The sequence below is a fragment of the Homo sapiens genome, chromosome 17, assembly GCF_000001405.40.
Source record: "Homo sapiens chromosome 17, GRCh38.p14 Primary Assembly".
Taxonomy (NCBI): Eukaryota; Metazoa; Chordata; class Mammalia; order Primates; family Hominidae; genus Homo; species Homo sapiens.
The window spans coordinates 64,334,968-64,349,218 of record NC_000017.11 but is presented as its reverse complement, the minus strand read 5'-3'; the positions used below and the strand labels follow the sequence as shown (position 1 = coordinate 64,349,218).

General features: G+C 49.7%; 1 protein-coding gene across 8 annotated transcripts in view; it reads left to right on the top strand.

Annotated features, from left to right (window-relative positions):
- Positions 1–14,251, top strand: part of PECAM1 (platelet and endothelial cell adhesion molecule 1) — a 71,446-nt gene that overhangs the window by 41,642 nt on the left and 15,553 nt on the right. For 4 of the 8 annotated variants that reach the window (XM_047436251.1, XM_017024739.2, XM_005276880.2 and 1 more), the window contains 2 exons: positions 897–959; positions 7,529–7,585. In XM_047436251.1, coding sequence (XP_047292207.1) covers positions 897–959; positions 7,529–7,585 — 120 coding nt within the window. The remainder of the gene's footprint in view (positions 1–896; positions 960–7,528; positions 7,586–14,251) is intronic. The other 4 variants (XM_017024741.2, XM_005276881.2, XM_005276883.3 and 1 more) reach the window with 2 other exon arrangements.

Below are 14,251 nucleotides of genomic sequence, written 5' to 3'. Positions count from 1 at the left end.
TTATTTTTGACTTGAAGACAAACTACTTTTCTAGCTTTCACCTTAGTACCCTGAGTGATTTCATTCACGTGTATGCCTCACACTCTCCAAGTATTTTTAGGGTAGTGACCCCTGTTCCCCATTTCCCGAAATCCTCTCAGTCTTGGAGGTAGCTTTGTTTGCCTGTGGCTGTGGAGAAGGCTTCCAGCATCTTGAGTGAGACTGAATTGGGAGAACTGCTGGGGCTGATACTGGGCTGTTTTCTGTCTCTACTGACCTGTTCCAAGTCCCCCCACTGTAGAAACAGGGACCTAGGCCAGAGGGTCCCTCCACATCCTGGTAACAGAGGAGTCAGGGAGGAAACCATGGGCCCCGAGGCCCTGTATCTGCCTCTGGGACCAGTGCGGGGTTCGTACTCCCTTCCTCATCCCGAATGGAATTAAGCCTGTGTCTGGCTGCCCCCTCAAAATACAGAATACTTTAATAACCTGAATGAAAATCTAGCCGGGGGCAGTGGCTTATGCCTGTAATCCCAGCACTTTGGGAGGCTGAGGTGGGCGGATCGCTTGAGGTCAGGAGTTCAAAACCAGCCTGGCCAATATGGTGAAACCCTGTCTCTACTAAAAATACAAAAATTAACCCCGTCTCTACTAAAAATACAAAAATTAGCTGGGCATGGTGGTGCACACCTGTAATCCCAGCTACTCAGGAGGCTTAGGCAGGAGAATCACTTGAACCCGGGAGGTGGAGGTTGCAGTGAGCTGAGATCACACCACTGCACTCCAGCCTGGGTGAAAGAGTGAGACTCTGTCTCAAAAAAAAAAAAAAAAAAGAAAAGAAAGTCTCTACTTCTATGATCTGAGGTGCCCACAAGAGATTCCACCTAAACAACAAGCTGCTGTGGTTTCTTTGAGCAGAGCCTCTGAACTCAGACGTGCAGTACACGGAAGTTCAAGTGTCCTCAGCTGAGTCTCACAAAGGTAAGTGCCACTCGAGTGAGTCCCCAGGCATTGCCTTTGGCTTGGGTTTAAACCCCAGTGGTGGCGGGGGTGCTGTGTTCAGTGAGAAGAGTCTGTGCACCCTCAGTCGCTCCAAAGGAAGTGATTAGCAGACCTACCGGCCTGCTAAGACTGGAAGGAGCAAAGGCCCCTGGCCCTGGCCCTGTCTCTGAGCTGTAAAATTTCAATAATTTAAAAGAAAAAAAGAAAAGGCCAGGCACTGTGGCTCACACCTGTAATCCTAGCACTTTGGGAGGCCAAGGCGGGTGGATCACCTGAGATCAGGAGTTCGAGACCAGCCTGACCAACATGATAAAACCCCATCTCTACTAAAAATACAAAAATTAGCCGGCTCTGGTGGCGCACACCTGTAATCCCAGCTACTCAGGAGGCTGAGGCAGGAGAATCACTTGAACCCGGAAGGCAGAGGTGGCAGTGAGCTGAGATTGCGCCACTGCATTCCAGCCTGGGTGACAGAGTGAGACTCCATCTCAAAAAATATATATATATATATAAAATATATAATATATATAATATATAAATATAAATACATATATAATATATATGTTTTCTTTGTGTATAATATATATTTTATAATATTTTATATATTTTTATTTTTTATTTTTATATATTTTATATATAATATTTTTATATTTATATTATTTATATATTTTTTATTTTATATATATATATATATTTTTTTTTTCTTTGTTGAGACGGAGTCTCACTCTGTGCCCAGGCTGGAGTGCAGTTGCGAGATCTCAGCTCACTGCAACCTCTGCCTCCGGGTTAAAGCGATTCTCCTGCCTCAGCCTCCCGAGTAGCTGGGATTACAGGCATGCACCGCCACAGCCGGCTAATTTATTTATTTTTTTTTTGTATTTTTAGTAGAGATGGGATTTCACCATGTTGGCCAGCGTGAACTCGAACTTCTGACTTCAAAAGATCCACCCCCCTCAGCCTCCCAAAGTGCTGGGATTACAGGTGTGAGCCACCACACTCGGCCTCAATAATTTTAAAAATTAATTAAAGAAAAATAGAGACAGGGTTTCGCCATGTTGCCCTGGCTGGTCTCAAATTCCCGGGCTCAAGCAATCTGCCCACTTTTGTCTCCCAAAGTGCTGGGATTACAGGCGAAGCCACCACACCTGGCCATTTTTGATAATTATTAGTTATGATACTACTAATAATAGGTAAGATTTATTGAGCACTTACTAAGTGCCAGGGAATTAGGAAGTACTGAGCAATTTGTCCCTTCCAGAGGTAGACCCCCTGCCAAACCCAGTGTGTTCCTAAAGTTGCTTGTGCAGACTGAATGTGTGTCAATCAAATGCATGTTTCAAGATATCGAGTGCTTTGCCATTTAGAGGGACACTTAGGTAAAGGCTTTTGAAAGCACAAGATCCCTGTCCGTGTGAGCAGTGGCACTGATTTTACACCTTGGGTTTTGTTTTTGTGTATGTGGTTCTCTCAAGGGCAGGCTGGCCTGGAAGTCCCTGTCTCTGGTTCTATGCTGGGGAAATGGATGCAGAGTGGGCTGCTCCATAGAAAATGCTAGAACATCAATCTCGTTTGTTTTGGGCACCATAAAAAACATGCATCTCCTGGCCAGGCACGGTGGCTCACACTTGTAAACCTAGTACTTTGGGAGGCCAAGGCAGGTGGATCACTTGAGGCCAGGAGTTCGAGACCAGCCTGGCCAACATGGTGAAACCCTGTCTCTACTAAAAATACAAAAATTAGCTGGGCGTGGTGGCGCATGCCTGTAATCCATCTACTGGGGAGGCTGAGGCAGAAGAATCGCTTGAACCCGGGAGGCAGAGGTTGCAGTGAGCCAGGATCAAGCCACTGCTCTCCAGCCTGGGTGGCAGAGCAAGACTCCGTCTAAAAAAAAATTAAAAATGCATCTCCTAACTGTCCTCCTCCTTTGCGAACCCAGATTGGGCAGTACACAGTCCCCGGGGGTCACTGCACACTCCTGCATGCTCAAAGGAAACAGTGGCTCCTGCACGCTCAAAGGAAGCAGTCTCAGAACCTTCCTGCCCAGCTGGGAAGCTCCCTGGGATCATTGCCATCTGTCTCCCTTCCTCTGAGGCTAACCCCAGGCTGCATCCACCTAGCCAGGCAGGCCTGGGGTAGTTTTCCTGACTGTGCAGGCTGAATGCGTGCAGTTTTCCAGGCCGTGCCAGCCACTAGCCAGACCACATGGCAATGGGGTCCTGAAATCACCCCTTGCTCCATGATCTGGGAGGAGTCTTGGACTTCTCCTTGTCTTCTCTTTTTGAGCCTGGGCTGAGTGTCAGCAGCTGTATGCACAGAACTTTCCTTACAGGGATGCCCCGTAGAGCCGCTGGGCTGTGTGCTGCACCACTGGGGCACATTCCCATAGCCTACCAACAGAATGGCCCCCGGGGGTTGTGTACTGCCCAATCTGCACAACTCACTTCCAAGTCTAGACTGGACCTGAGAGGGGTGGGGAACGCGGCAGGCCTGAAGCTCTCTTCCTCATTTTTTTTTTTTTTTTTTTTTTATGACAGTCTTGCTCTTGTTGCCCAGGCTGGAATGCAATGGCACAGTTTCGGCACACTGCTTCCTCTGCTTCCCGGGTTCAAGCTATTCTCCTGCCTCAGCCTCCTGAGTAGCTGGGGTTACAGGCGCCCACCACCATCCCCGGCTAATTTTTGTATTTTTAGTAGAGACAGGGTTTCACCATGTTGGCCAGGCTGGTCTCCAACTCCTGACCTCAGGTGATCCACCCGCCTTGACCACCCAAAGTGCCGGGATTACAGGTGTGAACCACCAGGCCTGGCCTCTTCCTCTTTATTTCATTGTAGAGTGATTGACTCGTTGAGATAACAAATTGTGATTAAGGCCCTACGCAGGCAGCACAAGCACATACAGACCCTCCCTTGTGGAGGGACAGCCTGAGAGGCAGCCAGGAACACACTGCAGCAAAGCCCTCCTAACCTTCAGGGATCACCTAACCTTCAGTGATCTGCCCACCTCAGCCTCCCAAAGTGCTGGGATTACAAGCATGAGCCACTGCGCCCGGCCCTGGTTTTCTTTTTCTTGCTCAAAGGTGGGGAAGGGTTGAAGGGACAAGAAGGAGGTATTGTAATCCCAGCACTTTGGGAGGCAGAGGCGAGAGGATCACTTGAGCCCAGGCATTCAAGACCAGCCTGGGCAACAAAGCAAGAACTTATTTCTACAAAAAATTTAAAAATAAGGAGGTATCGAGACCCTCCAGGATTGGGTGAAGCAGAGGCGGTCAGCATGTGCCCTCCTTGCCAAGCTGTGCAGCTGCAGGGATGCCATCACCTAACTGGTCCCTCTTTCCCCATTTGCACAAAAGCTGTGTGGGCTGCAGAGGTCCAGGTAGACCCGTAAAGAGGGTCACTTGGGGGCAATGGAGAGCTTTTTGGGAATTCAATTTGAGTTTTCTAGACCCGTCCTCCTCCTTGGCAGCTAAGGAGCAGTGTGGGAAGTCAGGCCTGAGCCTCAGGTGTTCCCTCTCTGCCTTCCTGTGGGTGGAGAGCCAGGTATTACCAGGTACGAAAAGGGGCTTTGTGGGTACAAGGCCAGTGGTGAGTACATTTGACCTGGTCTTGACCAAGCCAGTTCCCTGCTCTCAAGACTTCCTCCTCCTATGGAGGAGGGGTTGGGAACCACATCCAGCTCTGACCCTAGTGGCAGCCGACCAAGTGGTCACTTGGGGTGGAGGAGGGGCAGGAAGGAACTCAGTAAATCCTGGTTTGCTGCATGTTTGCTCTGAGACTAATTGCTGGGAAAACCCCATGACGTTGAAGCCATCTCCTTCTCTGTTAACACAGAGAAAAACAGAAGCCAAAATAAAGCCCCATCCGGAAACATCCCTGACAGCAGAGACAAAGAGCCTGCCAGCCTGGTTTACTCATTAGCAAGCAGCTGCTGCCGTGGAGTGGGTGGGGAGGAGAGGTAGTGATGAGCTGCAACTCTGCCTGCCCACCCATCACTTAACTGGGCAGATTTGGGGGCAGCTGCAACTCTAGAAGCTCCACCAAGAAGCAGAAACCCCCAGGCCCAAACACCAAGCCCTCTCCCTCCATTTATTCCTCACCTGCCCCAGCCCCCACTGTGGGCCTGGGTCGGAGGGTGAGCTGGCCGTGACCACCCCACCATGCGCCTGGTATATGGTGTTTGATAGCATTTGTTGCAGTGTCTGCGTTGTTTGTGCACCTGTCTGCCTCGCAGCCTGGAGCTCCTGAAAGCTGGGACCAGGCCCGATCACCTTTCCTCTTCCACAGTGCGGGGTTCACACTAGGTGTCTAGGATTCTGCTGAGTGAGTGATTTGGCCAGGCCTGACATCAAGCAGAGGGTGTCTTGGGGATGTGGAGGATCCCCCAATAGGGTTGGGGATCCCTACAGCTTTCCTTGAGGCCCCCACATCTGGTGCCACAGAAAGAGAGTGAGGGGTGTGTGGGCATCTCTGCTGTCCCAGCAGTGTGGTGCCCTGGTAGCTCAGCCACTCTACTGAGTTCCAAATCCTGTTTGGTGCCCTGGGGAAGTCAGTGTAAGGCCCTAGTCACCCCAAATGCCCCAAGTTCAACTGTAGGGATCTGACCCACCCCCAGGCTTTCTCCTCACAAATGGTTCCTGACACAGGAGCCACCACCATTACTGTCACTTCAAACTTGGACAGGTGCCCCCAGGCAGCTGAGCAAGCCTAGGAATGGGACATGTCCAAGACCCCAGCTGTCACCCCATAGGAGGTCGGGGTCTGCCAGGGAGACGGACTTGGGAACAAGTCACATCGGTGTGTTGTGGACAAATGTCACCAACATGCTGTGGAGCTCAGGGGGCCCTGTAACTTCCCAGGGCACAGAGGGAGAGTGAGTGTGGGTGTGTTGGTACATGCGTGAAGCTCCACCAGGGTCGTGGGGAAATGGGGCAAGGAGAAAGGGCAGTGCTGGCTGTGGAGGAGTGTGTGTGGGGCCAGGAAGTGAGAGTGGGGTGTCCCTGGAGCATGGTGAGACAAGGGCATCTCAGTGCAGGTAGAGTCCAGGGTCACACCCCAGCCATTCACTCCGAGGAGGGAAATGCACTGACCATGGCACAGGAAGCCCCTTACCCTATCTGGGGCTTCCTTTCCCCATCTGTAAAAGGAGAACAGTGGCCCACACGACATCAGGCTCTTTTCTACAGTGAGGCTTCCTGGGCCTTTGTGCAGGTGACAGGAGCTGGGAAGTGGCCAGGTTCCATCCTGTTTCCTCAGGGTTGGTGGGTATGTATGTGTGTGCACACCCTGTGTGCATGAGTGTGTGCACACCCAGATTGCATGTTTGTACATACAGTGTGTATACAATGTGTGTAGACACATCCTACACACTGTATGAGGGTATACATAGCATGTATACACATTGTGTGCATGAGTGTGCGTGTGTATATGCTGTGTGTGTATTTTTGTATACACATCCTGTGCCCATACCCCAGTGTAAGGTAAACAGATGGCAGGAAGGGCGCCCTTGAGTCTCCTCCAGGTATACGCCACACCCTGGGTCAGTCATCATGCTGCCATATTGAGAGGGTCTAGCCCAGAGGATCTCAGCCCTGTCTGCATATTAGGGCCCCTGAGGAGATCCTAAAAAACCAGCACCAGGGACCCCCCCAGACCAATCCAACCAGAAGCTGCAGTGAGGCCCAGGAGCCAGCAGTGAAAACAGCCAGCCCAGCTGTCTATCCCTGTAAGAGTTCTCAGTCCCAGCTATTCCTAGGGTCACTGACAACCCCCAGGCTCTAACCCAGACCTCAGGATCTCGTTCTGGATCCCGGGGTCTGGGCTCTCAGGTGATTGGGAGGCCATAGCCCAACCCTGCGTTGAGGGACCTGGCAGAATGTCTGGACAAGGGTCACGGTGGCAGGGGAAGAGGAGTGGGGCCAGCAAGCTGGAGGCTGCAGGCCCTTGCTGGGGGCCTCTCCATCCGTGGCCCCTCAGGTCCAGGGTTCCTCTGGTGCATGTGGCCCTGCTCCACAATGGCCTGCTGACCTCCTATTCCCAGACTGGGAGTGACGCTCGTTAGACCAAGACCTTCTTCTTCTTCTTTTTTTTTTTTTTGAGGTGGTGTGTCACTGTGTTGCCCAGGCTGGAGTGCAGTGGCGCAATCTTGGCTCACTGCAACCTCTGCATCCTGGGTTCAAGCGATTCTCGTCCCTTAGCTCTCGAGTAACTGGGATCACAGGCACGCACCACCATGCCCGGCTAATTTTTTGAATTTTTAGTAGAGACGGGGTTTCGCCATGTTGGCCAGAATGGTCTCAACCTCCTGACCTCAAGTGATCTGCCCCCCTCACCCTCCCAAAGTGCTGGGATTACAGGTATGAGCCACCTTGCCCAGCCAGGATCTTCTAACATCAGAAATGACAAGGTCTCTGGGTGCTTCTGGACCTGGTTCTGGTGGGGTGCAGTGGTGGGGTACAGCCTTGCCTGCAGAGCCTCAGACCTTTTCCTATGACTGCAGTGGACTGACCTCGTTCCCAGAGGCAGCTACTAACTTATGCCTGGTCCTTTTTCCAGATCTAGGAAAGAAGGACACAGAGACAGTGTACAGTGAAGTCCGGAAAGCTGTCCCTGGTGAGTGAGGGTCTCCAGTGCCCCAGCCTGGGGGATGCCCCCTAGAATCACTGATGGGGCCTTGGGAGTGGGCAGAGAAAAGAAGAAGCAAAGAAGGCCAAAAAAGGGGTGCCACCTCTTACACCAGCGCTGTGGGCTTCCTCTCTCCCACCACCCTTAAAAAGTCACCTCGGGTCACATTTACTATTCATGTAGTCAACGAGCGCTTCTTGAATGCTTACTGACCCCAGCCGGTGACCCTTACCTGCTCCCCACACAGGCCCTGGTGGCTGGGGTTCCCCAAGGTCTTGGACGTCGAGTGTTTTGCTTTGGAGACCCCCAGTAGCTTCAGCCTTTCTTCTTGTTTTCTTTTTTCTCTTTTTTTTTTTTGGATATGGAGTCTCGCTCTGTCACTCAGGCTGGAGTGCAGTGGTGCAATCTCGACTCACTGCAACCTCCACTTCCCGGATTTAAGTGATTCTCCTGCCTCAGCCTCCCAAGTAGATGGGATTACAGGCGCCCGCCACCACACTCAGCTAATTTTTTTTTTTTTTTTTTGAGACAGAGTTTCGCTCTTGATGCCCAGGCTGGGGTGCAATGGAGCGATCTCGGCTCACTGCAACCTCCGCCTCCCGGTTCAAGCGATTCTCCTGCCTCAGCCTCCTGAGTAGCTGGAATTACAGGCATGTGCCACCACACCCAGCTAATTTTGTATTTTTAGTAGAGACGGGGTTTCTCCCTGTTGGTCAAGCTGGTCGCAAACTCCCAACCTCAGGTAATCCGCGCGCCTCGGCCTCCCAAAGTGCTGGGATTACAAGTGTGAGCCACCGCGCCCAGCAGCTTCAGCTTTTCTGACAGTAGACTGACTTTGGGAGTGGGTGTGGGTTTGCGGATCTGCTCTATTTCCTTTGGTTCGGCTGGCCCCACTTCGCTTCCCGTGACGACCCACTGCTTACTCATGAAAGGGCTTCCCCCAGAGCTGAGCACAGAGCTTAAGCAGACCTGGAACTGGGGGAGCTCAACAAGTCCTTTTTTTCGGTGGGGGGGTATAATAACTGTATTCAATTCTGGTGAAATGAAATACACAATGACAACTTTTAAATTCTGAAGGTAAGTCAGCAATCCGAAAGACGTAAACATTGTGGGGGAAATAGTGACTGTGTGAGTATCTCGCTTTGTACAGCAGACCTCTATTTAAGTGGGTTCTTGGAAAGGGAATCATTAAAATGGTCCAGGACATTTCTGCAAAGGGTGGCTACTCAGGCTAGGCGTGGTGGCTCATTAAGCACTCAGTAAGTGCTTTATTTATTTATTCAAAATAAATAAATAAATATAAAAGGATGACTCCTCCGAGTACAGTCGGCAAACCAGCAGCAGCAATCTCGGGCCCAGCCCAGACCCACAAAACTAGTCTCTGGAATCTGAACTTAGCCAGCTTCAGATGTTTCTGATGCTGCCAATATTTGAGAAGCACTGTTTGTGTTTTGTTTTGTTTTTTTGTTTGAAACAGAGTCTCACTCTGTCACCCAGACTGGAGTACAGCAGTGCCATCTCAGCTGACTGCAACTCCGTGCAACACCCCCCGGCCCCTAAGGCTTAAGCAATCCTCCCAAGTAGCTAGAACCACAGACACACACCACCATGCCCAGCTAAGTTTTTGTATTTTTGGTAGAGATGAGGTTTTACCATGTTGCCCAGACTGGTCTTGAATTCCTGAGCTCAAGCAATCCACCCCCTTCGGCCTCCCAAAGTGCTGGGATTACAAGCGTGAGCCACTGTGCCAGGCAAAAAGCACTGTTTTAGAAGAACCATCCAATTCTCTGAGGACCCTGCTTTTTATCTGAAATAGCGATCACTTCTTAATTCACTTTTAAAAGTTGGTATATCTACAAGAAGAATAGAAACTCAACCCTTGTGGAACTTGACCCTGAATAATTTTTGAAAAACCAATTCTCTGGGGAATTTTTAGCTCAAATACCTCATTTCACAATCTCCATATATTCAGAGCTAACAAAATGCAAATCTGACAATAAACAGCCGTTCTCTATTTGTCTAGTGTAAGGGAAAGTTATAAGTGAGGTAGGGTTCAAGGTTGCTCCCATTGTGCAGTTGTACAAAAATGCCCCTTCTACTTTCTTGGTGGTCCCTGAGAGTGTTCGCTTTCTTGGACACTGCTGAAGAGTTCACTTTCAGTTGCTTTCGTTAAGCAAAATCTCCTATTTGAGCACTTATTGTATGTGCTAAGTGGTCTAAGTACATCGTGTCTTTCAATGGGATTTGTCCATGGGATTCACCACAAATCCCATTTTACAGTTGAGGATACTAAGGCATAGAGAGGTTAAGACGCTTGCCCAAGATCACGCAGCAAGCCAGCCCCTGAGAATCGTTCCTCCCCGGAGTGGACTCCACGCTCTTGATCACTGAGGTGTACTGTCTTCGGTTTGGGAAAGTCGGGTGGTAGAAGGTGGAAGCTGCAGGGATCCTCGCTGCAGGAGGCCAGCTCCTTACCACCTCTGCCTCGAGGCCTCCAGCGAAGTCTGTGATCATCTGAGGCTACTGGTTGGAGGCCCTTTTATAGGTGGTGAGGGGCACCTTAGTGTGGATTCTAGGGAAAAACTTAACTTTTTTTCCTTTACTCTCCTAAGTGCTCTGACTGGGGCCCTGCGAATTGGACAAGCAGATTAACAAGAGGAAAACAGAGTTTATTAACATACATAACGCAAATCACACAGGAGAAACATCAATGATGAGTAACTCAAAGGGGTGGTTAGCACTTGGGGTCTATAAAGCATCTTAGGCTGATCGCAGTGGCTCACGCCTGTAATCCCAGCACTTTGGGAGGCCGAGGCGGGTGGATCACCTGAGGTCAGGAGTTGGAGACCAGCCTGGCCAATATGGTGAAACCCCGTCTCTACTAAAAATACAAAAAATTATCTAGGCATGGTGGCATGTACCTGTAACCCCAGCTCCTCGGGAGGTTGAGGCAGGAGAATTGCTTGAACCCGGGAGGCAGAGGTTGCAGTGAGCCGAGATCACGCTATTGCACTCCAGCCTGGGCAACAAGAATGAAACTCCATCTCAAAAAAATAAAAATAAATATAAATATATAAAGCTTCTTAACAAAGAGCAATAAATTTGTAGACAAATGACAAGACAAAGGAAAGATGGTTTTTGGCTTCCCAGAGTGGCAAACTGAGAAAGTCAATCAAGTGGCCACAAATATTTTATGGGGGCATTTACAGCAGGTGTGTTTTCTTAGGAGTTTCTGCTTTTAGGGCTGGGCATGGTGGTTCATGCCTGTAATCTCAGCACTTTGGAAGGCTGAGGTGAGAGAATCGCTTGAGCCCAGGAATTTGAGACCAGCTTGGGCAACACAGTGAGGCCCCATCTCTAAAAAAAAAAAAAAAAAAAAAAATTTTAAAAAATTTAAAAAACCAATATAAAAACAAAAATTAGCTGGGCATAGTGGTGCATGCCTGTAGTCCCAGCTGCTCAGGAGACTGAGACAGGAGGATCGCTTGAGCCTGGGAGGTGGAGGCTGCAGTGAACTGTGATTGTGCCACTGCCCTCCAGCCTGGGTGACAGAATGAGACTGTGGGTTCCAAAAAACTTAATTTTCTTCCTTTACTCTCTTAGGTTTTCTGACTGGGGCCCTGCAAATTACACAAGACAGATTAACAAGAGAAAAACAGAGACCCTCTTTGTTTTTCTCTTGTTAATCTGCCTCAAAAAAAAAAAAAAAGGAAGAAGTAGTTTCTGCTTTTAGTCAGATAAACAAGCTCTGGGAAGACTTCCTTCTACATCTGAACCAGCTCAAAACAATCCTTATGCCAAAGGGGCATATTTTGTGGTGGCATATTCTGATTTCCTTCATCTGCTTTAGGGCAGCTGGCTGTTCAAGTGGGTTCTCTCGGGGTCTCCAGGTTGGTTCTAGATTACTCAGTCCGGGCTGTTGGAACCTGACCCCTCAGGCAGAAACTATAGGCATCGTAGAACCCACTCTTGTAGGATTTGAGGCGGTGTAGAGCACAGGCTTTCCTGGGAGACATCCCAGTCCCCGTTCTGAGGCAGCCCCCAATCAGCTGAGTTACTGTGACCAAGATGTCTTACCCCTCAGAGACTCAGTTTCTTCAACTGTTAAATGCAAATGGGGTTAAATGAGATAGAATCATGGGAGATGGTGCTGGTTATCCCCACAGTCACTGTATTATCCCTGCCACAGAGTGAGCACTTAATCAATTTCAGTTTAAAAACACAGGAGGAACTTGAGCCCTATAGAGTTCAGTGTCTTGCCCAGGGTACTACTAGAGCAGTCCCCTGACTCCGAGACCAGGACCCTCCCACAGCACCACCTGGGCCACCTGGAGTCAATCAGGGCTCTGTCGCTCTACAACCTTGTCTCTAAACTGGCAGACCATTAGGGAACCTGCCAGGTCTCTAACCTGCCCAGGGGTGAAGGTAGAGAGAGCCCTGGTTCTTGCACAGGCTGTAGCCCTCGGGGCCTGCAGCTGCCTGCAGCTGTGCCTCCAACCCACCTGGAAGCCTCTGGTCCTGGAAGCCAAGGGGTTTCCTGTTTGTCAGTGCTTCCTTGAGGAGAGGAGCCTGCAGGACATGGCTGATTTCTTTTCTTTCTCTCTTTCTCTCTCTCTCTTTCTTTCTCTCTCGCTCTCTCTTTTTCTTTTTCTTCCTTTCTTTCCTTTTTCCTTTCTTTCCTTTTCTCTTTCCTCCTTCTTTCTATCTTTCTCTCTCTCTCTCTCTCCTTCCTTCCTTCTTTCTTTTCTTTTCTTTCTTTTTTGTAAGACAGAGTCTCACTGTGTCACCCAGGCTGGAGTGCAGTGGCACGATCACAGTGAACAGCAGCCTCCACCTCCTGGGCTCAAGCGATCCTCCCGCCTCAGCCTCTGGAGAAGCTGGGATTACAGGCACGCACCACCATGCCCAGCTAATTCGCCATGTTGCCCAGGCTATTGCCCAATTCCTGGGCTCAAGTGATCTGCCCGCCTTGGCCTCCCAAAGTGCTGGGATTCAGGCGTGCGCCACCTGAATGCTCAGCTTTTCTTTCTTTTCCTCTTACTGGTTGCTAAAGAGCAGGCATCCCATTTGAGGAATTTCTCTCCTAAATTCTCTGGGACTTCCTTAATAGAAAACATCTTCCAAGTAATCTCTTTTCCTTCACTCCCTACATAAAATCAGAGAGATTCCCTCCTCTCTGCCTGGGGGGAGTTAGATGATTCTCCAAAGAGCCAGATCCTTCAGCCAGCAGTAACCCACCCGCTTAGGCTTCTCTCACACTCATCCTCAGCCTCTCTTTGTTCAAGTCTTCCCCAGAGCCCAGAGCTGTTAAGGATCATCATTTCTTTCTTTCTTTCTTTCTTTTTTTTTTTTTTTGAGACAGGGTCTTCGCTCTGTCACCCAGGCTGGAGTGCAGTGGCGCGATCGCAGCTCACTGCAACCTCCAGCTCCCGGGTTCAAGTGATTCTTCTGCCTCAGCCTCCTGAGTAGCTGGGACCACAGCTACTGCCACCACGCCCGGGTAATTTTTTTTGTATTTTTAGTAGAGACGGTGTTTCACCATATTGGTCAGGCTGATCTCGAACTCCAGACCTCAGGTGATCCACCTGCCTTGGCCTCCCAAAGTGCTGGGATAACAGGTGTGAGACACCACGCCCGGCCAGATCATCATTTCTTATTCATCATCATAACCATCCCCAGATTCTTCATCATTGCCAAATTCTTCAGCAGCTCTTTCCTCTGGATATTATTCCACCTCTGTAGACTGCAGATTTCTTTTGTTCCATGTTGATTGTTTTCTCCCTATACTCTAATTATCTTGCGGTTGGGCGGGTCCCTTCCTCCTCTGTCACAGTTAAAGCTAATATGTATTGAGCACTCCCTCTGTGTGAGACACTTGGAGCCCTACCTTAATCCCCAAGATCATCTAACAGTTGATGGGGGTTCTATTATTATTCTTGCTCTGCAGATGGGGAAACGGGCCCAGAGGTTAACTAATTTGTCCTTGTTCCACAGCCAGTGGCAGAGCAAGGACTGAACCCAGGGGGCCTGGCTGAAGCCATGCTCTTCAAAGCCTTCCTGTTCCCTCTCTTTTTTTCTCTTAATTGGTTTGTTACCAATTGCTGTCCATTGTTTGTTGCCAAACCAATTGACTGCATTCTTTTCTGTTTTCCATCTTTCTTAGTTTAGGCTTCATGTTATCGGCATAATTGGAGAACTTTTGTCTACTTTTTTTTTTTTCAGACAGGGTCTGGCTCTGTCACTCAGGCTGGAGTGCAGTGGCATGATCTTGGCTCACTGCAACCTCTGTCCCCCGGCCTCAAGCATCCTCCCCTCTCAGCCTCCTAAGTAGATCCTATCTACTTTAAACATGAAGAGTAATATTCTACTGTGGCCTGGGTGACCCTGGGCAAGTCATAGAGCCTCTCAAGACCTTGGTCACCTTCTCTGTGAGATGAGGTATGGGCTGGAGGCAGGTCAGTGGTCCTCGGGCTTTATTAAAACATCAATAGTTTGGCGCACCCCACTCCCTGTGAATTTCCCATTCACTAGGTCTGGAGCGGTGCCGAAAACGTGCATTTCTAACAGGTGTCCACACGCAGCTGCTGCCGTCACGCTGGGGCCCGGGCTTTGAGAACCACTCTTGATGCAGCATGTTCCTTTCTGATTGTGCCA